The sequence below is a fragment of the Homo sapiens genome, chromosome 10 (assembly GCF_000001405.40).
Source record: "Homo sapiens chromosome 10, GRCh38.p14 Primary Assembly".
In the NCBI taxonomy this organism is placed as follows: domain Eukaryota; kingdom Metazoa; phylum Chordata; class Mammalia; order Primates; family Hominidae; genus Homo; species Homo sapiens.
The window spans coordinates 98,907,110-98,934,113 of record NC_000010.11 but is presented as its reverse complement, the minus strand read 5'-3'; the positions used below and the strand labels follow the sequence as shown (position 1 = coordinate 98,934,113).

The following is a 27,004-nucleotide window of genomic DNA, read 5'->3' as shown; positions in this document are numbered from 1 at the left end:
AGCAGAAAAAAGCAGGGGTTGCAGTCATAGTTTCTGACAAAACAGACTTTCAACCAACAAAGATAAAAAAAGACGAAGAAGGTGCCAGGCTCACTGGCTCAAGCCTGTAATCTCAGCACTTTGGGAGGCCGAGGTGGGCAGATCACAAGGTCAGGAGATTGAGACCATCCTGGCTAACACAGTGAAACTCCGTCTCTACTAAAAATACAAAAACATTAGCCGGGTGTGGTGGTGGGCGCCTGTAGTCCCAGCTACTCGGGAGGCTGAGGCAGGAGAATGGCGTGAACCCAGGAGGCGGAGCTTGCAGTGAGCCGAGATCACACTGTTGCACTCCAGCCTGGGCAAAAGAGCAAGACTCCATCTCAAAAAAAAAAAGAAAAGAAAAAGAAAAAGGCAATGAAGGGCATTACATAATGTTAAAGTGTTCAATTCAACACGAAGAGCTAACTACCCTAAATATATATGCACCCAATACAGGAGCCCCCAGATTCATAAAACAAGTTCTTAGAGACCTATTAAGAGACTTAGACCCCCACACAATAATAGTCAGAGACTTTAATACCCCACTGGCAGTGTTAGACAGATCATTGAGACAGAAAATTAACAAAGATATCCAGGACTTGAACTCAGCTCTAAATCAAGTGGACCTGATAGATATCTATAGAACGCTCCACTCAAAAACAACAGAATATACATTTCTTTTTGGTGCCACATGGCACTTATTCTAAAATTGATCACATAATTGGAAGTAAAACACTCCTCAGCAAAGGAACTGAAATCATAAGTCTCTCAGACCACAGTGCAGTCAAATTAAAACTCAAGATTAAAAAGCCCACTCAAAACCACACCACTACATGGAAATTGAACAACCTGCTCCTGAATGACTCTGGGGTAAATAATGAAATTAAGGCAGAAATCAAGAAGTTCTTTGAAACCAACTAGAACAAAGAGACAACATATCAGAATCTCTGGTACACAGCTAAAGCAGTGTTAAGAGGGAAATCTATAGTACTAAATACTCACATCAAAAAGCTAGAAAGATCTCAAATCAACACCTTAACATCACAACTAAAATAACTAGAGAACCAAGAGCAAACAAACCCTAGAGCTAGCAGAAGACAGGAAATAACCAAACTCGGGAGATAGAGACCTGAAAAACACTTCGAAAAATCAACAAATCCAGGAGCTGTGTTTTTGAAAAAATCAATAAAATAGATAGACTGTTAGCAAGACTAATAGAGAAGAAAAGAGAGGAGATTCAAATAAACACAATCAGAAATAATAAGGGGGATACCATCACTGACCCTAGAGAAATACAAACAACCATCAGAGAATACTATAAACACCTCTTTAAAAACAAACTAGAAAATCTAGAAGAAATGCATAAATTCCTGGACACATACACCCTCCCAAGACTGCACCAGAAAGAAGTTGAATTCCTGAACAGACCAATAACAAGTTGTGAAATTAAGGCAGTAATAAATAGCCTACCAGCCAAAAAAAAAAAAAAGCCCAGCTCCAGATGGAGTTACAGCTGAATTCTACCAGAGGTACAACGAGGAGCTGGTACCATTTCTTCTGAAACTATTCCAAACAATTGTGAAGGAGGGACTCCCCTCTAACTCATTTTATGAGGCCAGCATCATCCTGATTCCAAAACCTGGCAGAGATATAACAAAAAAAGAAAACTTTAGGCCAATATCCTTGATGAACATCTGTGCAAAAATCCTCAATAAAATACTGGCAAACAAAATCCAGCAACACATCAAAAAGTTTATCCACCATGATCAGGTCGGTTTTATCCCCAGAATGCAAGGCTGGTTCAATATATGCAAATCAATAAATGTAATTCATCACATAAACAGAACTAAAGACAAAAACCATATGATTATTCCAATAGATTCAGAAAAGGCCTTCAGTAAAATTCAACATACCTTCATGTTAAAAACTCTCAATAAACTAGATATTGAAGAAACATACCTCAAAATAATAAGAACCATTTATGACAAGCCCACAGCCAATATCATACTAAATGGGCAAAAGCTGGAGGCATTCCCTTTGAAAAGTGGCACAAGACAAGGATGCCCTCTCTCACCACTCCTTTTCAACCAAGTGCTGGAAGTTCTGGCCAGTGCAATTAGGCAAGAGAAATAAATAAAGGAAATTTCAAATAGGAAGAGAGGAAGTCAAATTGTCTTTGTTTGCCAATGACATGATCCTGTATCTAGAAAACCCCATCATCTCAGCCCAAAAGGTTCTTAAGCTGATATGCAACTTTAGCAAAGTCTCAGGATATAAAATCAATGTGCAGAAATCACAAGCATTCCTATACACCAACAACAGACAAGCAGAAATCAAAATCGTGAATGAACTCCCATTCACAATTGTGACAAAGAGAATAAAATACCTAGGAATACAGCTAATGAGGGTAGTGAAGGACCTCTTCAAGGAGAACTACAAACCACTGCTCAAGCAAATCAGAGAGGACACAGGCAGATAGAAAAACATTCCGTGCTCCTGGATAGGAAGAATCAATATTGTGAAAATGGACATACTGTCCAAAGCAACTTATAGATTCAGTGCAATTCCCATTAAGCTACCATTGACATTCTTCACAGAATTAGAAAAAACTTTTAAAATTTATATGGAACCAAAAAAGAGCTTGCATAGCCAAGACAACCCTAAGTAAAAAGAACAAAGCCAGAGGCATCATGCTACCCAACTTCAAACTGTACTACAAGGCCATAGTAACCAAAATAGCATGGTACTGGTACAAAAACAGGCACATAGACAAATGGAACAGAATAGAGAACTTAGAAATAAAACTGCCCATCTACAGCTATCTGATCTTTGACAGACCTGACAAAAACATGCAATGGGGAAAAGATGCCCTATTTAATAAATGGTGCTAGGAGAACTGGCTAGTTATATGCAGAAAATTGAAATGGGATCTCTTCCTTACACCTTTTACAAAAATTAACTCAAGATGGATTAAAGACTTAAATGTAAAACCGAAAACCATAAAAACCCTAGAAGAAAATCTAGGCAATACCATTCAGGACATAGGCATGGGCAAAGACTTTATGAAGAAATCTCCAAAAGCAATTGCAACAAAAACAAAAATTGACAAATGGGATCTAATTAAACTAAGGAGCTTCTTCACAGCAAATGAAACTATCATCAGAGTGAACAGATAACCTATGGAATGGGAGGAAATTTTTGCAATCTATCCATCTGACAAAGGGCTAATATCCAGAATCTACAAGGAACTTATGCAAATTTACAAGCAAAAAACAACCCCATCAAAAAGTAGGCAAAGTGTATGAACAGACACTTCTCAAAAAAAGACATACATGCAGCCAACAAACACATGAAAAACAGCTCAACATCACAGAGAAATCAAAACCACAGTGAGATACCATCTCAGGCCAGCCAGAATGGCGATTGTTAAAAAGTTAGGAAACAACAGATGCTGGTGACATTGTGGAGAAATAGGAACGCTTGTACACTGTTGGTGGGAATGTAAATTAGTTCAGCCATTGTGGAAGACAGTGTGGTAACTCCTCAAAGATTTAGAACCAGAAATATCATTTGACCCAGCAATCCCATTACTGGGTATATACCCAAAGGAATATAGATCATTCTTTTATAAAGATACATGCACACTTATGTTCATTGCAGCACTATTCACAATAGCAAAGACATGGAATCAACCCAAATGCTCATCAATGATAGACTGGATAAAGAAACTGTGGTATATATACACCATGAAATACTATGCAGCCATAAAAGGTAATGAAATCATGTCCTTTACAGGAACATAGATTAAGCTGGAAGCCATTATCCTCAGCAGACTAACACAGGAACAGAAAACCAAACACTGCATGTTCTCACTTATAAGTGGGAACTGAACAATGAGAACACATGGACACAGGGAGGGGAACAACACTTACTGGGGCCTGTTGTGGATAGTGGAGGGGGGAAGCATTAGAGAAAAGAGCTGATGCATGCTGGGCTTAATACATAGATGATGGGTCGACAGGTGCAGCAAACCACCATGACACACGTTTACCTATGTAACAAACTTGCACATCTTGTACAGGTATCCCAGAACTTAATTTTTTTTAAAAAAGCACTCATATACAAGAGATCATGGCTAGAGGCCAATAGCCAATAAAACTTTATTTATGGGCACTGAAATTTTATTGGCTATGTGCCAATAAAACTTTATTTATGGCACTGAAATTTTAATGTTTAAAAATAATTTTCTGTGTCATGAAATATTCACTTTTTTCAACCATTAAAAAATGTAAAAATAATTCTCAGCTCATGGGCTGTTTGTTTTAAACAAACACAAACTTAGGCTGATTTTTCCCACTGGCAGTAGATTGCTGATGTCTGTTCTAGACTTTCTTTATCGAAATAGAAGCAAATATGAATATATAGTCTTATTTTTTCTCCATTAGGGACATTAAACAATTCTGGGTCACTCCAGAGCAAGCCTCTTATCTATAGTCTTTCAACTTTTGAACGTTGGAATTCTTCTGGCAAATAACTTAGGTCTTCAGAAGCCACTCAGCTTCTTTACAAAACTGGGCTTATCTTCTCGTTGTTCAATATGAAGATAGCTTTAGTATGTAAAAACCTGGATCAATAGGGCCAGAAAGGATCTTGAGTATTATCTTTTCTACCTCCATTTTCCATTTTGCAGACAAGAAATCTGAAGTCTAGAGTTTTAAAATTTTTATTTTATCAGGAGTAGAGGTAGTACCACAACCCTGGTCAAGGAAAGCCTTGCTTGGCTATAGGTTATAAACAGTGGAAAAATGGAAGATTATAGGATCTGCAGTGTCCACTGATGCTGAAGCTTCCAATTTCTTTGTTCTTTTGCCTGGCATATTGACAGTGGTGTGTGCTTCTGGAACTTTGTGCCTGCTATTTGTGCTTACAAGGGCACACATCATATACCATGAGTATTAATAGGAAAGAAGGTATGGGTTTGTGGTAGAATTCTGGCATTTGGTGGTAAATGGATAAATAAAAGCTTAAGCTTGTTTGTTTGTTTTTTTCCTTTTATTTTTGAGACTAAAAAATATTTATTTATTTATTTATTTATTTATTTATTATTATACTTTAAGTTTTAGGGTACATGTGCACAATGTGCAGGTTAGTTACATATGTATACATGTGCTATGCTGGTGCGCTGCACCCACTACCTCGTCATCTAGCATTAGGCATATCTCCCAGTGCTATCCCTCCCCCCTCCCCCCACCCCACAACAGTCCCCAGAGTGTGATGTTCCCCTTCCTGAGTCCATGTGTTCTCATTGTTCAATTCCCACCTATGAGTGAGAATATGCGGTGTTTGGTTTTTTGTTCTTGCGATAGTTTACTGAGAATGATGATTTCCAATTTTATCCATGTCCCTACAAAGGACATGAACTCATCATTTTTATGGCTGCATAGTATTCCATGGTGTATATGTGCCACATTTTCTTAATCCAGTCTATCATTGTTGGACATTTGGGTTGGTTCCAAGTCTTTGCTATTGTGAATAATGCCGCAATAAACATACGTGTGCATGTGTCTTTATAGCAGCATGATTTATAGTCCTTTGGGTATATACCCAGTAATGGGATGGCTGGGTCAAATGGTATTTCTAGTTCTAGATCCCTGAGGAATCGCCACACTGACTTCTACAATGGTTGAACTAGTTTACAGTCCCACCAACAGTGTGAAAGTGTTCCTATTTCTTCACATCCTCTCCAGCACCTGTTGTTTCCTGACTTTTTAATGATTGCCATTCTAACTGGTGTGAGATGGTATCTCATTGTGGTTTTGATTTGCATTTCTCTGATGGCCAGTGATCGTGAGCATTTTTTCATGTGTTTTTTGGCTGCATAAATGTCTTCTTTTGAGAAGTGTCTGTTCATGTCCTTTGCCCACTTTTTGATGGGGTTGTTTGTTTTTTTCTTGTAAATTTGTTAGAGTTCATTGTAGATTCTGGATATTAGCCCTTTGTCAGATGAGTAGGTTGCGAAAATTTTCTCCCATTTTGTAGGTTGCCTGTTCACTCTGATGGTAGTTTCTTTTGCTGTGCAGAAGCTCTTGAGTTTAATTAGATCCCATTTGTCAATTTTGGCTTTTGTTGCCATTGCTTTTGGTGTTTTAGACATGAAGTCCTTGCCCATGCCTATGTCCTGAATGGTAATGCCTAGATTTTCTTCTAGGGTTTTTATGGTTTTAGGTCTAATGTTTAAGTCTTTAATCCATCTTGAATTGATTTTTGTATAAGGCGTAAGGAAGGGATCCAGTTTCAGCTTTCTACATATGGCTAGCCAGTTTTCCCAGCACCATTTATTAAATAGGGAATCCTTTCCCGATTGCTTGTTTTTCTCAGGTTTGTCAAAGATCAGATAGCTGTAGATATGTGGCATTATTTCTGAGGGCTCTATTCTGTTCCATTGATCTATATCTCTGTTTTGGTACCAGTAGCATGCTGTTTTGGTTACTGTAGCCTTGTAGTATAGTTTGAAGTCAGGTAGCATGATGCCTCCAGCTTTGTTCTTTTGGCTTAGGATTGCCTTGGTGATGCGGACTCTTTTTTGGTTCCATATGAACTTTAAAGTAGTTTTTTCCAATTCTGTGAAGAAAGTCATTGGTAGCTTGATGGGGATGGCATTGAATCTATAAATTACCTTGGGCAGTATGGCCATTTTCACGATATTGATTCTTCCTACCCATGAGCATGGAATGTTCTTCCATTTGTTTGTATCCTCTTTTATTTCCTTGAGCAGTGGTTTAAATATATATGCACCCAATACAGGAGCACCCAGATTCATAAAGCAAGTCCTGAGTGACCTACAAAGAGGCTTAGACTCCCACACATTAATAATGGGAGACTGTAACACCCCACTGTCAACATTAGACAGATCAACGAGACAGAAAGTCAACAAGGATACCCAGGAATTGAACTCAGCTCTGCACCAAGCAGACCTAATAGACATCTACAGAGCTCTCCACCCCAAATCAACAGAATATACATTTTTTTCAGCACCACGCCTATTCCAAAATTGGCCACATACTTGGAAGTAAAGCTCTCCTCAGCAAATGTAAAAGAACAGAAATTATAACAAACTGTCTCTCAGACCCCAGTGCAATCGAACTAGAACTCAGGATTAAGAATCTCACTCAAAACCGCTCAACTACATAGAGACTGAACAACCTGCTCCTGAGTGACTACTGGGTACATAACGAAATGAAGGTAGAAATAAAGATGTTCCTTTTCTTTTAATTTACAGTTTGGGAGCAGACTTTTCCTGGCATGGGAAAAATAAGGATAAGTAAGGGACAAGATGTATCACAACTTTTAATTTAATGTGTCCTAATCACTGCCTTTTAAAATTTTTTTACCTTGTGGGCTTGGTGGGAAAAGTATGTCTCATGCTTATTTATTGGTGCCTTGAAGACAGGTTGATATTTGAGCATTGTTTTCAATGCTGGAGAGAGAGTGATTAGAAGGGAAGACAATAAAAAGGTATTTAGGCAGACAGGTTGGTGACAGTTTAAGGGGACCAAACTTTTTCTACTACCCAAAAAGCTAATATGAAGCATGCCTCCTTTTTCTCATGCTTTATTTAGTGCTTGCTTATCATGAAGGAGACTAAATTAGATCTGTTTCCAAGAGTGGGTAATCCTAGCTGTATTGTACCATTACCTTCCCTCAGTTGAGCTCTGTAAATTCTGTTTCACTACCATCTGGTTATATTTAATATTAATTTTGTCTCCTACTTGTAATTCTTATGTAGACCTTTCCTTCATTCCTATTGACCTTCAGACCTCCTCCCACTGGTTCAGCACCAATTTAAAAAATAAAACTTAAAAATGATGTATTTTCCAATAGCACGCATTTGTGGCTTTATAAATTCATTCAATAAGTTACTATGGCCATACAAAAAGCATGCCCTTTTGAGGTTCACTTTCTACCAGGGGGATATAGATAATAAAGAATGTATATTCAGTATTTTAAAAGGCAATGACACCTACTTCTACTGCCAAAAAGACAGAGTAAATATACTTTCCCCTATTCCTCCTATTAAGGGTAACTAAAAACTCTAAATATTATATATAAAAAACATGTAAGAAGACTCAGAGGTTGAAAAGAAGTCAGCCAAGAACCCAAGGAACAACATGATGGTGAGTTCCCTGGGTTTTCTTCTTGTCTTTAATATCCCAAACTTGGCGCTGAAGAAGCTGGAAACCTGGAAATCTCAATGAATACAAACACAAAAGACCCCAACAAAAGCCAGTTTTCTCTAGCCAAGGAGAACAATAAAGGACCAATCTAGCAAGACAGAAAGGTTTTACACAATAACCACTCCACCCTAGCCAAATGTCATAAAAAATTTGTGTCCTATTTCTCACACAAACAAAGGCTGAGTAGGGAGCCTGGACTTACCCTCATGAAACTCTAATGTGCTCCTGCAACATCCTTGCCAGGATGGTGTCCAAGTAGAGAGCCTGCACTTCATCCCCATTGGTTGATATTGAGGGAACACCCTCCCACTTCACTGCAGTATTAGTTGAGACTCTGGAGATGTGGAACTTACCCACCTGCTCAGCAATAATGAGGAGCCTCCCTTTGGTGTGAATGAAGGCTGAATGGGCAACCTGGACTTTGACATCCACCTGGCAGAAACAAAGCAGTGCCCTCACTTATACCCTGCCAGAGCAGTGTCAAAAAAAAAAAAGCCAATTAAAATAAAAGGTTTAAATAAGATCTAGGGAGGTGGAGCAAGATGGTTGGGATAGAAGCCTTCACTGTTTGTCCCTCTGGCTTGAACACCAAATCTTAACAACTATCTGTACACAGAAAAGCCCCATCACAAAAACCAACAATCAAGTGTGCAATCACAGTACTTGGATTTAACGTCATATTCACAGTACTTGGATTTAACGACAGAGGCATTGAGGAGGGCAGAAGAGATACTTTAGAATCACTGACACCACCTCACCTCCATCCCCTAGCAGTGGCCATGCAGTGCAGAGAGAGAACTTGAGCACTTTGGGGAGGGAGAGCACAGCTGCTGGGCGACTTTACATTGAACTCAGTGCTGCCCTGTTACAGTGGAGAATAAAGCTGTATTGAGCTCAGCCATTGCCTGTGCACAATGGGAGCATCTGGACCAGCCCTAGCCAGAGGGGGGTCACCCATCCCAGTGGTCCAAACTTGAGTTTCTGTGCAAACCTCACCACTTAGGGCTAAAGTGCTCTGGGGTCCTAGGTAAACTTGAAAGACAGTCTAGGACACAAAGACTGCAATTCCTAGGCAACTCCTAGTGCTAGGCTGGGCTTCAAGCCAGTGAACTAGGAGTGGAACATGACCTAGGGAGACACCAGCTGGCACAGCTATGGGAGAGTAAAGAGAAGTCATCCCTCCCCCAAACCCAGGATTGCAGCTTGTAGCAATGGAAGTGACTGTTTCTTTCCGTTTAAGGAGAGGAGATCAAAGTTAAAGGGTACTTTGTCTTACATCTTGTGGAAAGGGGAGGGAAGAATAGGAGGGACTTTGTATTGTGGTTCAGTACCATGCAAAGTCCTTCCTATTTTTCCCTCCACTTTACTTCCTTTCCCTCAACTTAGCTTCCGTAGAATAGAACATCACATAAGTTTCTAAGGTTTTTGACTCCAACTTCTGGCTCCCAGACAGCATCTCTGGACACACCTGGAGCCTACAAGAACTCACTACCCTGACGGGAAGGGCCTTGGGCAAGGCCCATTGCTGTGCTGGCTTTGGGTCTGACCCAGCACAGTCCCAGTGGTGGTGGCCACAGGGGTGATTGCATCACTACACCCCCCAGTTCCAGGTGGTTCGGCACAGAGAGAGAGAGACTCCATGTGTTTTGGGGAAAGTAAGGGAAAAGAACAAGGGTTTCTGCCTGGTAATCCAGAGCATTCTTCTGGATCTTACCCACAACCACCACAGCAGTACCTCTATGAGTGTACAAAACCCACCGTATTATTGGGCTTGGGGCCCAAGTCCCTTTGAATACCTAGAAAACCTTCCCAAGAAAGACAGGCACAAATAAGCCCAGACTGTGAAGACCACAATAAATACATAACTCTTTAATGCCCAGATGCCAAAGAACTTCTACAAGTGCCAACATCATTCAGGAAAACATTACTTCACCAAATGAACTAAATGAGGTACCAGGGATCAATCCCAGAGAGATAGATATATATGACGTTTCAGACAGAGAATTCAAAATAGCTGTTTTGACGAAACTCAAAGAAACTTAAGATAACACAGAGAAGGAATTCAATATTTTATCAGGTAAATTTAACAAAGAGATTGAAATAATTAAATAGAATCAATCAGAAATTCTAGAATTGAAAACTGTAGTTGACATGCTGAAGAATTTATCAGAGTCTCTTAATAGCAGAATTGATCAAGCAGAAGAAAGAATTAGTGAGCCTAGAGACAGGCTATTTGAAAATACACAGTCAGAGGAGACAAAAGGGAAAAAGAATAAAAAAGAATGAAGCATGCCTACAAGATTTAGAAAGTAGCCTGAAAAGGACAAATCTAAGAGTTATTGGCTTTAAAGAGGAGGTAGAGAAAGAGATAGGGATAGAAAGTTTATTCAAAGGGATAGTATCAGAGAATTTCCCAAACCTAGAGAAAGATATCAACATTCAAGTAGAAGAAGTTATAGAACACCAGGCAGATTTAACCTAAAGAAGACTACCCCAAGGCATTTAATAATCAAACTCCCAGTGGCCAAGGATAAAGAAAGATTCTAAAAGCAGCAAGAGAAAAGAAACAACACACAGTGGAGCTCCAATAGGTCTGGCAGCAGACTTTTCAGTGCAAACCTTACAGGTCAGGAGAGAGTGGCATGAGATATTTAAAGTGCTGAAAGAATAAAACTCTTATCTTAGATTAGTATATCTTGAGAAAATATCCTTTAAGCCTGAAGGAGAAATAAAGACATTCTCAGACAAATAAAACCTGAGGGATTTCAATACCATACCTATCCTATAAGAAAGGCTAGAGAGAGTTCTTCAATCTGAAAGAAAATGATGTTATTGAGCAACAAGATATCATCTGAAGATATAAAACTCATTATTACCATAGTAAGCACACAGAAAAACACAGAATAGTATAACTTTGTAGTTGTGATGTATAAACTTATCTTGACTAAAGTAGAAAGAATAAACGATGAACCAATCAAAGATAACAGCTACAACAACTTTTCAAGACATAGACAGTACAATAAGACATAAAGAGAAACAACAAGAAGTTAAAAAGCCAGGGCACTAAGTTAACATGTGGAGTTTTTTTAGTTTTCTTTTTCCGTGTTTGTTTGGAATGGTGCCAGCAAGGCCCCTACTGTCTCTGCTGCTGGCCATACTTGAAGTATATTATACCATGTATTTATGGATTCTGAGTACTAGATATCAGATCACCCCAATTGGTGCCCATGAAAGCTGGATACCTTCACCATCAGCCTTGCCAGAAAATTAATTCCACGTATACAGGGCCATGTTCTTCATTTTTTTCTGTTTACAATTCAAATCTCATATGGTTGTTTCTGACTGGTCAAGCATGCGTTACCTTCCAATGCATTAGCTGAAAGGGAATCTGAGAAATTGAGTTCTCCCTCGTATCTTCATGAAATGAGACTCATAATATGCAAGCTACCCCAGGACAGAAAGAGTGTTCAAAAGATGCTAGGTACCCCAAAATGACAAACATCCATAACAGTGTCTTGGTCTTTTATAGAACTTTGTCATTTCCCAGTCCAGCTCCCCTGAAGGGCACTATCCAATTTGGTAACCACTCTCCACATGGACATACTGAGCACTTGAAATGTGGCAAGTCCAAATTGAGGTGTGCTGCAAGTATAAAATACACATGGGATTTTGAAAACAGTATAAAATATTAAAAATCACATTAATAATTTTATACTGATTACATGTTAAAAGAATGTTTTAGATATATTGGTAATTAAATCATTTCTATTAACTAAAACTGATTTTATCTGTTAATTTTTTCTTCTTGTGGTTAGTAGAAAATTTAAAATTTTAAATGTAACTTGCATTTGTGACTTACATTGTAATTCTGTTGGACATCACAGGTCTAGAGTGCAGATCTGAGACTTAGCCCTTTCCTTACAGCTAATCACTTGCATGCAGCACACCAGTCTCTCCCCATGAATTGGCACCTACTTATTTATAGTTACTAACCCTTACTTTAAAAGAGAAACAAGAGTGTAGGTGACAGAACTCCATGAAAGATATTCACCTAATAAGCTTCTCCTGCACCTGTGGGAAGAAATCTGTGACTGCATTGATTTCAGAAAATGTCCTCATGGAGCACTGGCCTCAGCTGCTGGGGAATATGAAAGGAGAAGGTCTGCTGATAAGTGATGTCACAGTTGGGCAAAGGAGTATGTGCTAATGAACCATGCAAAGCTCCAGTCACTAAAATTGGGGGTTTACAGATGTGTTTTTATGGATTCTTATTTACCATGAACATTTAGATGGTAATTGGAGCACAAATTGTCTGTTAAAATAGTTATTTCAGCTTTCCCCTGACCATCGTAATCTTCTGGTAATCCCTCTTTTGGCCCTCTCCAGCTGTCTACCCCTAATTCAGAAAGAGGCCAGCTTTCCCTTTGCTGCTGTGAGTGAAGGCTGAGCCTTAATGTGTGGCCACGTACATAGCTTCTCAGCTTTCTAGTTAAAAGAAAAATGCCAGATCATTTTATATGGCCACTGGTTTCTTCAGTGTAGATAAACAACTCCATTTATTCTCAGAGCAGATGCTTCCACTAACAACAATGACATACATAATTTCCAATTACTGAGTGCTCAGTATGTGCCAGAAACTGTGCTAAATGCTTCATCTGCCTTGGCCCATTTAGTCCTAACAACAAGCATATGAGATAGGTACTAGTATTATATTCAGTTTACATATGAGAGAATGGAGGATCAGAGAGGGGCAGAGGGAAACATGCCTGAAGTCACCTAGTTTGAGCACCTAGTAGAACCAGGATTTAGATGCAAGTGTGTAGGAGTACAGAGCCTGCACACTTAACTATGATGTCAGACTGCCTCCCTTGACTAGAATTCTTGTGTGTTGACTCTAAGGCAATGTCATCCAAATATTCTACTGGCAGCTGGACGAAGCTGTTTGCAGCAGGAAAGGCAAATTCTCCTGAGAAGGTGGATGAACGTTGTACTCCAGAGGAGACTATGTTGTCTGCCTGAATTGCTTGTGCCCCTGGAGCTCAAAGAGCAGACTATGATTATTTAAGCTGAGAATTCACTTAGTTGAAAATAAAATTCTTATGGAATAGAGTTTTCACTCTTTTTAGTTCAATCCAGTTTTTATGGGAAGTTTAATTTAATTCAATTATATGAAATGTTAGTAAAAGATGTTCTGGAAGTTAGAATGGAACATATGGCCCAAGGGAGGTGGGTAAGTCTTTAGGAGTAAAATATCTGACAGTGAGGGCTGTTAAACACTGGGCTGGGTTGTGTACTCTTAAGAAAACCCTGAGGTCAGGGTGGTTTACATGCAAGATGCTCTGAGGAGGAATTCACATTTCCCTGTGATTTTCATTCTTAATACATTTACTTAAAGTATTGTGTCAGTTAAGGTCCTTTGAGGAGCAGACACCAAGATGCAGTTAGACACATAAGTTTTATTTGGAGAAATATCCATGCTGAGTAAAGGGGAAGAGAGCAGGAGTAGGCAGGGAGAGCCTTCAGCCAGTGATGCAGGTCTGATATCTATGAAAGGAGCAGAGGAAAGAAAGAAAATTGGGCAGGAAGAGCCCCAGTCCGTAATGCAGTTCTGAGAAAGTCTTGGCCAGGCTGGGAACAGAAGTCTTTAAGCAAAAGTTCCCCATTATAGAAATCCCACATTACAGGGAAAGGATGGCTTAGCTTGACTGTGCCTTCTGTGCTTAGTCATTGCCTGGGAGCAGCATAGGGGTCAGAAGGTGTGGAAGTGGGGAGCATGACCTCAGAGTGAACACTGCAATGGATCTAAACATACAGCAGCTGGAGACTATCAGACAGCTATGCTTCTAGCAGCAGGTTCTCTTGACAGGAGATCTGAGCAGTGCACCTCCATGTCTGCCACCGTTACATATTGTCTTGCCACACTGGAGTACTTTCTTCCAATTTACTGCTAATGTCAAGTGAAACAAGAAGTGACTTTCCATTTCAGTGATATTTTTTTCCTAAAAGTAAATACTGTAGTATCAAAGCATCCTCCATAAAAACCTCTTCGTTCCTTCTTTTCCAGACACCATATCCAACTATCTGTACTTTTATTTTTATTTTTTCTGGAATTTGTTAAAACTTTGCCACTTGGTATCTAATATTTTTTCTAAATGCTTCAGATTTCTGTTCTGATATGAGCAGAAAGAACACACTTGTACATACTTTTCACTTTTATTTTTCCATTAATATTGATTAATCTAAAATGATTGTTAATTTTATCTCTTGAATATATTTAAAATGTATTCATTCTCTCTATTCCTGTACTGTTAGATTAGCTTAGTTCCCTCATCCTCACTTCCTTGGGTTATTTTAGTAGCTTCCTATCTTTTCTCCCTACCTCTAATCTTGTCGCGGTTTAGTTTGCCTTCTGTATAATTTCCAACCCAAATCTGACATTTTTGGAGGCCTTCAATGGCTTACTAGCATTTAGAAGGAAAAAATAATCCAAGCTCCGTAGCATGGCATATGAGGCATTTCATGAATTTATCTATGTCCACTTTGCTAACTTCATCTCCTTCTATTCTCCCCTTCATGCTTTCTAGTCCAGTGCTATGGAACCAATTACACATCTGCATATTATCTGCTTATGTGTATACTCGTTTCTTTGTGTAGAATGTGCTCTACTTGTTCACTTTACACACTGCTACTAAATATCTGGTCAGGTATTTAGTTTGAAGTTTTTCTTGATTTCTAGTCAGCATTGATCACTTTATCTTTTATATTACTATTAAATCTCTTAGCAGTCTGTAATTGCAGGCTCTATGTTTTATATTTTAATTATTTGTGCCTTTTTCTTAAGGCCCCAGGCTGTATCTTATTTTTCTTTACAACCCTTGCACCTAGCACAATGCTTGGCCCATGAGAGGTACTCAATAAATATTGGTTGAACTATGCCAAAATTGAGTTACATTCTTTGTATTGCTCCACAATATGTACTACAGAGTCTTTTTTTTATTAATTGTCCTTTTGTTTTTTATTTTTATTATTATTATACTTTAAGTTTTAGGGTACATGTGCACAATGTGCAGGTTAGTTACATATGTATACATGTGCCATGCTGGTGTGCTGCACCCATTAACTCGTCATTTAGCATTAGGTATATCTCCTAATGCTATCCCTCCCCCCTCCCCCCACCCCACAAGAGTCCCCAGAGTGTGATGTTCCCCATCCTGTGTCCATGTGTTCTCATTGTTCAATTCCCATCTATGAGTGAGAACATGCGGTGTTTGGTTTTTTGTCCTTGCGATAGTTTACTGAGAATGATGATTTCCAATTTCATCCATGTCCCTACAAAGGACATGAACTCATCATTTTTTATGGCTGCATAGTATTCCGTGGTGTATATGTGCCACATTTTCTTAATCCAGTCTATCATTGTTGGACATTTGGGTTGGTTCCAAGTCTTTGCTATTGTGAATAGTGCCGCAATAAACATACGTGTGCATGTGTCTTTATAGCAGCATGATTTATAATCCTTTGGATATATACCCAGTAATGGGATGGCTGGGTCAAATGGTATTTCTAGTTCTAGATCCCTGAGGAATCGCCACACTGACTTCCACAATGGTTGAATGAACAAATGTTTGTGTAATGGGATGTAAATGAATAAAATGAAAATGTATTTAAGGAACTGTAAGAAAACTCAGTTTAAATATTCAGTAAATAGATTTGTTATTGTTGATGCTTTTATCTTAATCTTCTCCATTTTCATTACTTGAGAGCAGTTGCCTTACTTGCCTCACTACTGGGTCAACACATTTTATGTGTATAACATATGTGTACAGAAATGTGATGACGCAAGAGGCAAGAGTTGACGGCCTGAGTTATCTTGCAAGTATGGCCCTGAACTGGTATCACTTTAATTTCTGTATAACCTGTACCTGAACAATTATACTGTGTTGTATCTGTAGAAAACTGTAATGATGTATGCTGGCTCTTCATTAAAATTCCCTACAGGCATTGCCATCAGAAAGACTAACAGAAAAGAAATGAAACTTCCTTGCTGGATGCCTACCAGTTTCTCCTGTACAAGTGTTACTAAACGTTTATTTGTTCCTTCATTCATTCACTTTCACTCACCTATTTATTCATTCATCGTTCAGCTTACAGTGGTAAGTGAAAACAATCCATGAGAAAAATAATAATAATAAGGGTAGGTACCATTTATTGAGTCCTCATTCAGGCACCAAACTGGGTGACTTAAATGTCAGAACAGCTCTCTGAGAGAGAAAATACTATTTTCCTTTTAAAGGTGAAGAATTGGATGCTCAGAGAAGTTAAGTTGTAGAGCTAGGATTTTAAGGCAGAAGTTAATCCTTTCAAATAGTCCTATTTCAGGATTGATTTCAGAATTATCTGTTTCAGAATCATTTCCACCCACTCACGTGATGATTGCTTATATAATTTATATTGCTGAGTTTTTTTCCACTCAGTGTTTGAATCTGATGATGCCAACTTATAAATTAGATGATGGCATACAAAATACAATTCTGGAATCACCATTATGTTTATTGAATACCTAATGTATAATTAGAACCTTTGTAGCTTAGTTCTTATTTGGCTATAAGAATTGTTTCTATTAAAAATGTTAGTGTTTCCCTCTCAAATTCTTCCCATTTTCAACAGACTAATAGTGAGTGGGGGTGTCAGGGTGGTCTGCATGTAAGTTGACAATGATAAAATAGTCTTGGATGGATCTGTTGATTCCTTTCATACACCCCCAACAAAAAAGCAAGAATCGAAAAACCCAGCACAACCCTTGTAATAGTTGCCAAGTCCCCATGTGAGGCCTTTATTTTGCTTTTAATAAAGACAGACCACATATAGCCTAAGGGGAACTTCAGTCAGACCAATAGCAGCCTCATTTCCTCCCAGTAGGAGGCATGGTAAACAAATGGTTCTGAAGATAGATGCTCTAGAGATATTCATAGCAATATGGATGTGGAAAAGGCTGAGGCTGATTAAAAGGAAATTCAGAGGAAGGGACTGGGACTGAGCTATGTATACAGGCAGGGGCCAGACCTATGTGTTAAGGTTAATCAGAATAGATTATCTGACTATCTTCCAGAATATAAACACCCAAACTTAATATTTCTATTTATGTTGAAAGAAATCAAGAAACAAAGTTTGTTATGTTCTTTGGAATAAATCTGTGCAGATGGTAAGCAGAACCAGAAACTGTTTGAAGTTTTGTGACAAGCCAGAGGCCTACATGAATATGGTAACTTTTCCCTTTTGAAAGCACTTGATTTTATCAGCTTGTTTACCTATCTGTCACAACAGAACATAAAACCAAGAAACAGTTTCATAAACTGATATGTGAGAAATGTGTTCCTGGTAGCTGAGAAGAATTAAGAGAGTCATATATCAGTTTTCTGCTCTTCATTAGATGCAGTAATAAACTAGTTTTTTAAAATCACCTAACTGGATGTCAAATAGTATGTGACAGTGGGCAAATTTACAGCAAGGGGTAGACATTGTCTGTGTAACAAATTGCTCTCTTGTACCAGTATTTCATGCCCTGTGCAGATAAATCAAGAGCAATTTGTCACATCCTCAAAAATGCATTCCCATTAAGTTGTTAAACATAGCAAGTAATTTTGGTACAGTTTTATATTCTTTAATCTTCAAAGAACACCATTTGGTCCTCTGACAAACCTGGATGGTTATCACAGCCAGAGCAGAAATGGTTAAATCTGATTCTGTCTTCCAACAGGGAGCTAAAAAGAATTGCAAAATATCTCATCCCCGTTGGCTCTGAGTGTAGATTTAAAATTAAATTGGTTCTGGTTAGCAAGCTAGAACAGGGCAACTAAATTGAATTTTCTGAGGAATGTTGTGAATCCTATGTGGAAAAAAAAGTCATACAAAGTTTGTGTTTCCTTCTATCCTTTCTTTGTACACTACCCTCTCCTGTCCATTGCACTCTTTCCATACTCTCCTCCCCATTGGTAAGCCCAGCTTCTATTGTATCTCATTTGGAGTTTTATATGCATTTCTACCCATTTCTCTGAAAGTTTCAGTCATTCCTTTCCGCATGCTCTTTCTTTTCCCACTTGAAAATTGCTCTCTTTATTTTTCTTCTCATTCACACTTTTCATGGAACAAGATTATTGAGAGCATTTTATCAAGTTTTCACAGAGGAAAAGCAAGCACAGAAAAGACCAGAGACTGGGGCATGTGAAGTGTTAGGCTTTTGGTTATGTTGTTAAAGCGTGAGTACAGAGTTTTGATGATTCTATCTTTCAGAATAGATGATGGTGTTCTAAAGATTCTAGAAGCATTTATTTATAAGTAAATTTTTCCCTCCCTCTCATTTTTCTTTTAACATTTATTTTCTTGCTTGCTTATTGTAAAAAAATGGAAAATTGGGCTGGGCGCGGTGGCTCACACCTATAATCCCAGCACTTTGGGAGGCAGAGGCAGGCAGATCAGGAGGTCAGGAGATCAAGACCATCCTGGCTAACACAGTGAAACCCCGTCTCTATTAAAAATACAAAAAATTAGCCGGGCATGGTGGTGGGTGCCTGTAGTCTTAGCTACTCGGGACGCTGAGGCAGGAGAATGGCATGAACCTGGGATGTGGAGCTTGCAGTGAGCAGAGATCACACCACTGCACTCCAGTTTGGGCAACAGTGTGAGACTCCATCTCAAAAAAAAAAAAAAGGAAAATTTAGAAAACTGTAGAACAATATAAAATTACATCAAAGTTTATCGAGGTTATATAAGTATATAGAAGAAAAATAATTATATCATCAAAGACAAAAGCAGTCAATGATTTGGCATATTTCCTTCCAGTGGTTTTTTTTTTCAGTGCATATGACTTTCTAAATGGTTGAGATTATCCTGTGTGTATACTTTTGTATATTGCTTTATCTTCGGAAAGTTTTATAATGGATTTTTCTTAAATTGATCTTTGTCATAGGAGTCGGGTGTTGGGGTGAAGCTCACCAAATTGGCTTCAGTTTGGTAACAGATGGATATCCATCTTCTATTTTCCCTTTGCCCTTTAGTATTAGAGGACAGGTATCTTAATGCTGCCATGGTTCAGATTTATCAGCTTATACTAGGGTGGTTTTTCATAGGACCTGGGTAACTTTTCTTTTATAATTTTATTTTTTAAATTGACATATAAGAATTGTACATATTTATTGGGATCTGGGTAACCTTTCTTATTAAACATTTATTCTATATGTAAGAACATACTAGATCAGACATGCAGCTGATGTTACATCAAGTTACCAAGTACAGTTGCCCTGGATTAAGAAGTGTTTGCTATTTGGCCTTTATGCAGCATATTGGAGCAATCTTAATTTTTATTTTATAGTTCCTTCCAGCAAGAAAATGCCCCAACGGATACTAAATTGTGAGGATTTGAGAAATTCATAGTGTTTTTTATTTTACCTCTGTATTAGTCCATTTTCACACTGCTAATAAAGACATACCCGAGGCTGACTAATTTACAAAAGAAAGAGGTTTCATTGAACGTACAGTTCCACCTGGCTGGGGAAGCCTCACAATCATGGTGGAAAGCAAGGAGGAGCAAGTCACATTTTTACGTGGATGGTGGCAGGCAAAAAAAATGAGAGCTTGTGCAGGGAAACTCCCCCTTATAGAACCATCAGATCTCATGAGACCCATTCACTATCACAAGAACAGCACAGGAAAGACCTGTCCCCATAATTCATTCACCTCCCACTGGGTCCCTCCCACGATATGTGGGAATTGTGGGAGTTACAATTCAAGATGAGATTTGGGTGGGGGCACAGCCAAACCATATCAACCTCTTATTTTTGTTGAAGGAATAGTACTAAATCCTCCATTTTCACCTTCTAAAATTTCATTTTCCTCAGTGATTATATGGGAAAGAGAAAAAGCGTATGAGTGCTTTACTTTGTTACCACAATTATTTGTGGATTTAAGCTCCACCAGTCATTTAGTAGGATATTTTGCTTTTATTAAGGAATCTTCCCCTTCCTTTTAAGTTCTTAAATGTTTCCCTTTCAAGAAATCTGCTTTTAAATTTTTTGAAGCTCTACAGCAGATGATCTCAGTGAGAGCTTTAATTTCATTTTATTGCTCTAATTCAGGCATCTCCAAGCCATGATGGGCAGGCAGTCAGTGGTCTGCATCCTTGGGGATTTTCAGTGGCATTTGGGCTGCTCATTTTGGTAGCTTTTAGGCCATTTTTTCCTCAAAAATGAAGTGTCTTTTGAGTGGTGTTATCTGGGCTTTCGGAAGGAGCCCAAAAGTTAGGAATATGTGAATCTTCTCTAAGATCAATTCTTTTTTCAACTATTATTGGGCCCTGCTTCACCTCCATTGTGCAGTAACTGAATATGCCGTAAGAGATAATAGAGATTTACACACAACTTACTTCACTATAAGAAAATAGTTTATAAGTGATTTGTGTCCTGTAATCGATCTCAACAGTTCTATTAAAGCAGATAAATAAAGTGTTGATTGACTTTCAATATGTACAATACCCAAGTTGCAGGAACAGTGACTTTAATCATCTCCAGTTTGGTTGCGGGACTTCTTTATTGGCTACTGGAGGTTTCACTACAAGTATATGGAGTTCTTTTAACATTTGCAATTGATGTTGTTGCTAATTAGATAACAACTCTACCTTGGATCTAAATTACCTGATACAATTTTTGAATATATTTATTTTGAAAATTTGAAATATTTGAATGGAGAATTTTTTAAAGTTATGTATTTTATTTATTTTATTTTTTATTTTTGTGCCTACATAGCAGGTATATATATTTATGGGGTACATGAGATACTTAGGTATAGGCATGCAATGCGTAATAATCACATAATGGAAAATAGGGTATCCATTCCCTCAAGCATTTATCCGTTGTGATTCAAACAATCTAATTTTACTTAATTTTAAGTGTACAATTAAATTATTATTGACTATAGTCCTCCTGTTGTGCTATCAAATAGTAGGTCTTATTAATTCTTTCTAACTATTTTTTTTTTGTACCCATTAACCATCCCCACCTCCTCACTGCCCCGGCTACTATTCTTCCTAGCCTCTGGTAATCATCCTTCTTCTCTATCTCTGAGAGTTCAATTGTTTTAACTTTTGGATCCCACAAATAAGTGAGGACATGTGATGTTTGTCTTTCTGTGTCTGGCTTATTTCATTTAGCATAATGACTTCCGGTTTTTGCAAATGACCCTCTCATTCTTTTTATGTCTGAATAGTACTCCATTGTGTATATGTACCACATTTTCTTTATCCATTCTTCTGCTGATGGACAATTAGATTGCTTCCAAATCTTAGCTATTGTGAACAGTGCTGCAACAGGCATGGGAGTGCAGATAGCTCTTTGATATACTGATTTCCTTTCTTTTGGGTATATGCCCAGCAGTGGGATTGCTGGATCATATGACAGTTCAATTTTTACTTTCTTGAGGAACCTGAATGGAGAATCTTTAGCCAATGAAGTAGAAGAAATATAAGAAAGAAGAGAGACCTACATTCACACCAAATGACATTGCTGGAAGATTCTGTTCTACTAGGCATGGTGTCTAGCAGCGATAGATGTTAGCAATTCAGTGTGTTGGTATTAAATGTCTTTGTTGCAGAGAACAAAGTAGTTGCTAAATATAGGATTTTTTCCACTCTCTGCATTTTTCCCAAAATAAACATCCAATTAGTCCCCAAATCCTGTTGATGGTAATTATCTCATAAATACCTCTTGAATCTGTCTCCTTATCCTCAATGCCACTCTACTACCAATGCATATGTTACTAATATTTATCACTTAATATGTAGCCAGATACTACAAGACACATTATCATATTTAATTATCGTAACAATTCTGCAAGGATAATATTATTTTTATTTTATGGAAGAGGAAACAGGTATGAGGAGATTGTTTAGTTTCTCAAGGTCAAATAACTTGTGACAAAAGCCAGGTTTTAAACCCATATCCATCGATTCTAAAACTCCTTCATTTGCTGCCTGTTCTATTTGCAACAGCCTCCTAATTTTCTTGCCCCCATCCCCACCGTTATCTCATTGCTATTTCTTTCCAGTGATCCTTTTTTGCAGTACTACTGTGTTAATACTGAAATATACAAACATCAGTATGTCCCCCTACTCAATGCCTAAACAATGAAGTCTAGCCTTCTTGGCTTGTTTCAACCGGGTTATAGCTGGACCCCTACCTCATCTCTGATTACTCTCCTGCCCATTTCCTATCCCTCTACCTCAGCTCCTTATGTTTCAGCTGCACCAAATGTGGTGGTATTATGTGAATGCTTAATGTCTCTGTGCTATTTCAGTTACCTAGAACACACTCCATACCTGCCCTCTTTGGTCTGTGAGCTCCTATTCATTTTCCTACACCCAGCTCCAGTGTTCCTTTCTTTGTGAGGCTTTCCCACAGCTTTCCCAAGCAGAATTAGTAACTCTAATCTCTGCACTTCCATTACACATGCAAGGAGCCTTAATCATTTATGTATCTATTCCCCCTCAGAAGCCTGTGAACCCCTTACAGGCAGGAGTCCAGTATTATTCTTTGTACTTATCTCCTGCAGCTCCTAACAAACAATCTGGAAGTTGACTCCAATTAATGTGCTGCCCCTAGAAAATTTGGAATCACATCATGTCTTGCTCAAAGAAATACAATCCCAAGACTACAGCCACATTTGTTGAGGTCTTTTACCCTCTAAACTACTTCTATGCCCAACAGACTTGTTTCTCATTGATGTCTGATAGTTTCTCCTTCTTCCCTTTCCTCTTTCTTGACTAACCTCTCTTCTTGCTTTTCTTCTGGCTCAATTCTGTTTTTCTATTCTGATTTTTTATGTTCTTCATCAGAAAGTCTCAACATTTTCTGGTGGAGATAGAAATTTCCTCAGATAGAGGGTGGCCAGTGAAGCTGGGTAGGCAAAACCTCAATTCCTTTTAGTTAAGCAAGATCTTAGAGGAAGTCTGTGAGCACTCATGCCTTAATACCTTAAAAATTTTTTTTCAATCCACAAATGTATTTTGTGTTGAATTTGGTATAGTGGAAAACAACTGGATATGATCAGCCGACATGAGTTCAAGATCTCTATTCTGAGTAATGCTGAGCCTTAAATGCAGTATGTGATGTAGAAACACTTTGTAAGCTACAAAGCAATACGTTGACACTGAGAGATTACTGTTCCTCTGGGCCCGTTCTCAGGCCTGCACTGAGCATTGTTCCTTCTTGTTCTGCCTCTAAAGCCTTCTTCTGTCTCATTTAGGAAGATGCTGCTGCTGAATTTAAAAATACATATTTTGTTATTTAATATAGCATACAAACTGAAAAATACATAAAACATATGCACAGTTCAACAAATGAAACCATGTAACCATCAAGAAATGGAACATTGCTGGCAGCCCTTTAAGTTCCCTATGTGCCCTTTTGCTGATTTGTCAAACTTCTAGCACTGGCTTCTTTATTCCCTTCAGTTGAAATTTCTCTTTACTGGTGACTCATAAACCTTCTTGAGTCTGATGCTATACTGAGGGCAGCAAGGGTGTCTGACCAGAGAGAGCTTTATCTAACAAAGCAGCTCTGTCTTAGTGCCTTATCTCCACCCTGGGCACCAGAAGTACTAGCCCCTCCCTCACAACTGTCAGTCTCTTTCCTCTGTGCTTGGGGAAGGTAAGCAGATGGTCTGTAAGTGCCCTTCCCAGTAGCACCATTGCATCAATGATACTGCTGGTGCCTTTATCACAGCACAGTTAGCTATTATTTTTATGAACACTTTTTTTCTTCTTATAATAGCATTATGGTCTCCTTTCAGAAAACTTGGAAAATACTATAAAGTATAGATGAGTATTAAGTAATCATGCAGAGAAAGCTTACATCTCTGTTAACAGTTTTTTCCATATTTGAACAACTTTTAATCTTGGTTTTTGTGTCATCAGAGTTTTCATTAAAATAATTTTAATGGTTGCCTAATATTCCATCACGAGTATAGTTTACTAAACTTTTATGTGTGTGAATGGCATTTAAGTTGTTTATTTTTTTAAAGTTTTATAAGTAACCTTATAATAAACACTTTGATGTGTAAGTTTTTACCTGCATTTCAGTTTATTGGCTTAGGCTAAATTTCCCAAACTGAAATTACTGAGTTAAAAGTCATGCATTAAAAAAAACCAAACTTTTTTTTTCATTTTTTTTTTTTTTAAATTTTGAGACGGAGCCTCACTCTGTCGCCCAGGCTGGGTGCAGTGGCGCGATCTCGGCTCACTGCAACCTCCACCTCCTGAGTTCAAGCGATTCTTCTGCCTCAGCCTCCCGAGTAGCTGGGATTACAGGCGCCCACCACCACGCCCAGCTAATTTTTTCTATCTTTAGTAGAGACAGGGTTTCACCATGTTGGCCAGACTAGTCTTGAACTCCTGACCTCTGGATTCACCCGCTTCGACCTCCCAAAGTGCTGGGATTAGAGGCATGAGCCACTGTATCCGGCCAAAAAAAAAAAAAACTTTTTTGAATACCAGTTGTGGAACTATTACATGTTCCTTATTGGCATTTTGGAAAATACAGGAAAAGAATAAGGAAAATTACAGAAATTACCTTATCAGTTACTGAGGTAACAAACCCTGAAATGTCAGTAGCATAATACATTAGTAGTTTATTTCTCTCTCAGAGAAATGCAGATAAGGCCTTTCCTGTGTGACTGTCTTTCAAGCGTCAGGAACCCAGGATATTTCTGTTTGTGGCTCCACCATTTTGTTGCCTCAAAGTTACCTTGATGGCATAACTGACTGACAGGAGGAAAGGAAAACGTGGAAGACCACACATAGATTCGGGCCTGGAGTTGCCCTATACCATTCCCACCCACATTCTATCACCTGAATTCAGTTACATGGCCAGGGGAGTGACAAAGCTATAGGGGAGAGGGTGTTTAAGGCAGGAATGTGTCTTTCTGTGACAGGAGGAAAATGAAATGGCTTGGAGGAATAAATAGCATTGTTTTTTAAGCATATTACCCACAATTCTGTCTCCCAGAAATAACCCTTGTTAGTATGCTGATATATTTCCCTTTAGCCCCTTTATATAAATATATGGAATATTAAGCAAATCACAATTACTTTCCATATACCATCTTTTTTTTTTTTTTTTTTTTTTTTTTGAGATGGAGCTACGCTCTTGTTGCCTGGGCTGGAGTGCAACGGCACGATCTCGGCTCACCACAACCTCCACCTCCCGGATTCAAGTGATTCTCCTGCATCAGCCTCCCAAGTAGCTGGGATTACAGGCATGCACCACCATGCCCGGCTAATTTTGTATTTTTAGTAAAGATGGGGTTTCTCCATGTTGGTCAGGCTGGTCTTGAACTCCTGACCTCAGGTGATCCACCCGCCTCAGCCTCACAAAGTGCTGGGATAACAGGCGTGAGCCACTGCGCCCAGCCTCCATATACCATCTTATATCTACTATGGATCATCTAATATTTTAGGAATATTTTTATATTAGTAAATATTCTAACTATTTTTGAAGCTCTTGATGTAATCATGACAAGTTGTTTTTCAAAATGTGGCACCAGCTCTGTGTGAGAGTGACTTGAGTGGTTCTTTGTTATTTCACATTTTGCTTAACTTCTTTGGGTCTTGGTTTCCTTATCTACCTACCTTATATGATTATTGTGACTAATTAACAACTTACTGCAGGTAAAGAGCTTAGAATAGTGCCTAGCACAGTAACTATTATTGATTACAGTTGTATGGAGATACTTGGACTTCCCAAGTCACTCATCAGTCTTATGCTTTCACTTTGGTATCTTGGGTATGTTTTGCATCTCTTGGAACTTGATAATGAGTGTTCTGAGCACTTTTAGGGTAACTTTTTATTCACAAAATAGACTGATTTTTATCAAATAAGCTTAACTACAATGGTGAAAGAGATTTTCAATATATACTAAATGGTTTTGGGGGATACAGGAAGTGAAAGGAAATTATAGTTTGTTGAATATCTACCATATGCCAGACCCTGCTTTTTATACTTTTATACCATATCTCATGTAATTATCCTAGCAACCCTGGAAAGCAGGAGTAGTGTTTTTATCCAGATTGACTCAATAAGGAAAGTGAGGTTCAGATAATTAATCCAAGACCACAAATGCTAGTTAAGTAGCAAGATCAGGATTTAAATCCAGATCTGTCTCCCATCAAAGTCTACTATACCATCATGCCTCCTATTTATCCTGTTTTCCTATTGCCCTTGTGGTATGTTCATGTGGAATAAGGTCCTGATTTTAGACCATGCCTTGTCAGAAGAATTACAGTGACTATTGTTAAGCTGAAGAAAGAAAACTGTGTGTATTGTTTTGTTTTGTTTTTTTAATTAGAGAGCAGGTCTCACTATGTTGCCTAGGCTGGCATCAAACTCCTAGGCTCAAGCAATCCTCCTGCTTCAGCCTCTTCAGTAGCTAAGTCTATAGGCACATGCTGCTGCACCCAGCCTATGAACGTACATGGAGGCATACTTCCTCCTTAAGATTTCATATATTGATTACTTACCTTGCTGGCCATTTAAAACTATATTTGACACGGATAGCAACAGAGGCCCCAAAAAGACTCTATAATTTGTCCATATCAACTAGTCAGTTTCTCTCTGGATTTAGGAAAAGTAAGCAGGCCTTTTCATCTTCTCGGATTCTAACAGTATACATGAAGAGGCAGTAGCTCAGACAAGTTACTTTAACTT

General features: G+C 38.4%; 1 protein-coding gene and 1 non-coding gene across 15 annotated transcripts in view; both read left to right on the top strand.

Annotated features, from left to right (window-relative positions):
* Positions 1-27,004, top strand: part of HPSE2 (heparanase 2 (inactive)) — an 858,875-nt gene that overhangs the window by 381,838 nt on the left and 450,033 nt on the right. The gene's annotated exons all lie outside the window — the stretch shown is intronic.
* Positions 9,546-9,615, top strand: MIR6507 (microRNA 6507). Its single transcript, NR_106762.1, has one exon. It is a non-coding gene; the product is annotated as a microRNA 6507 (primary transcript).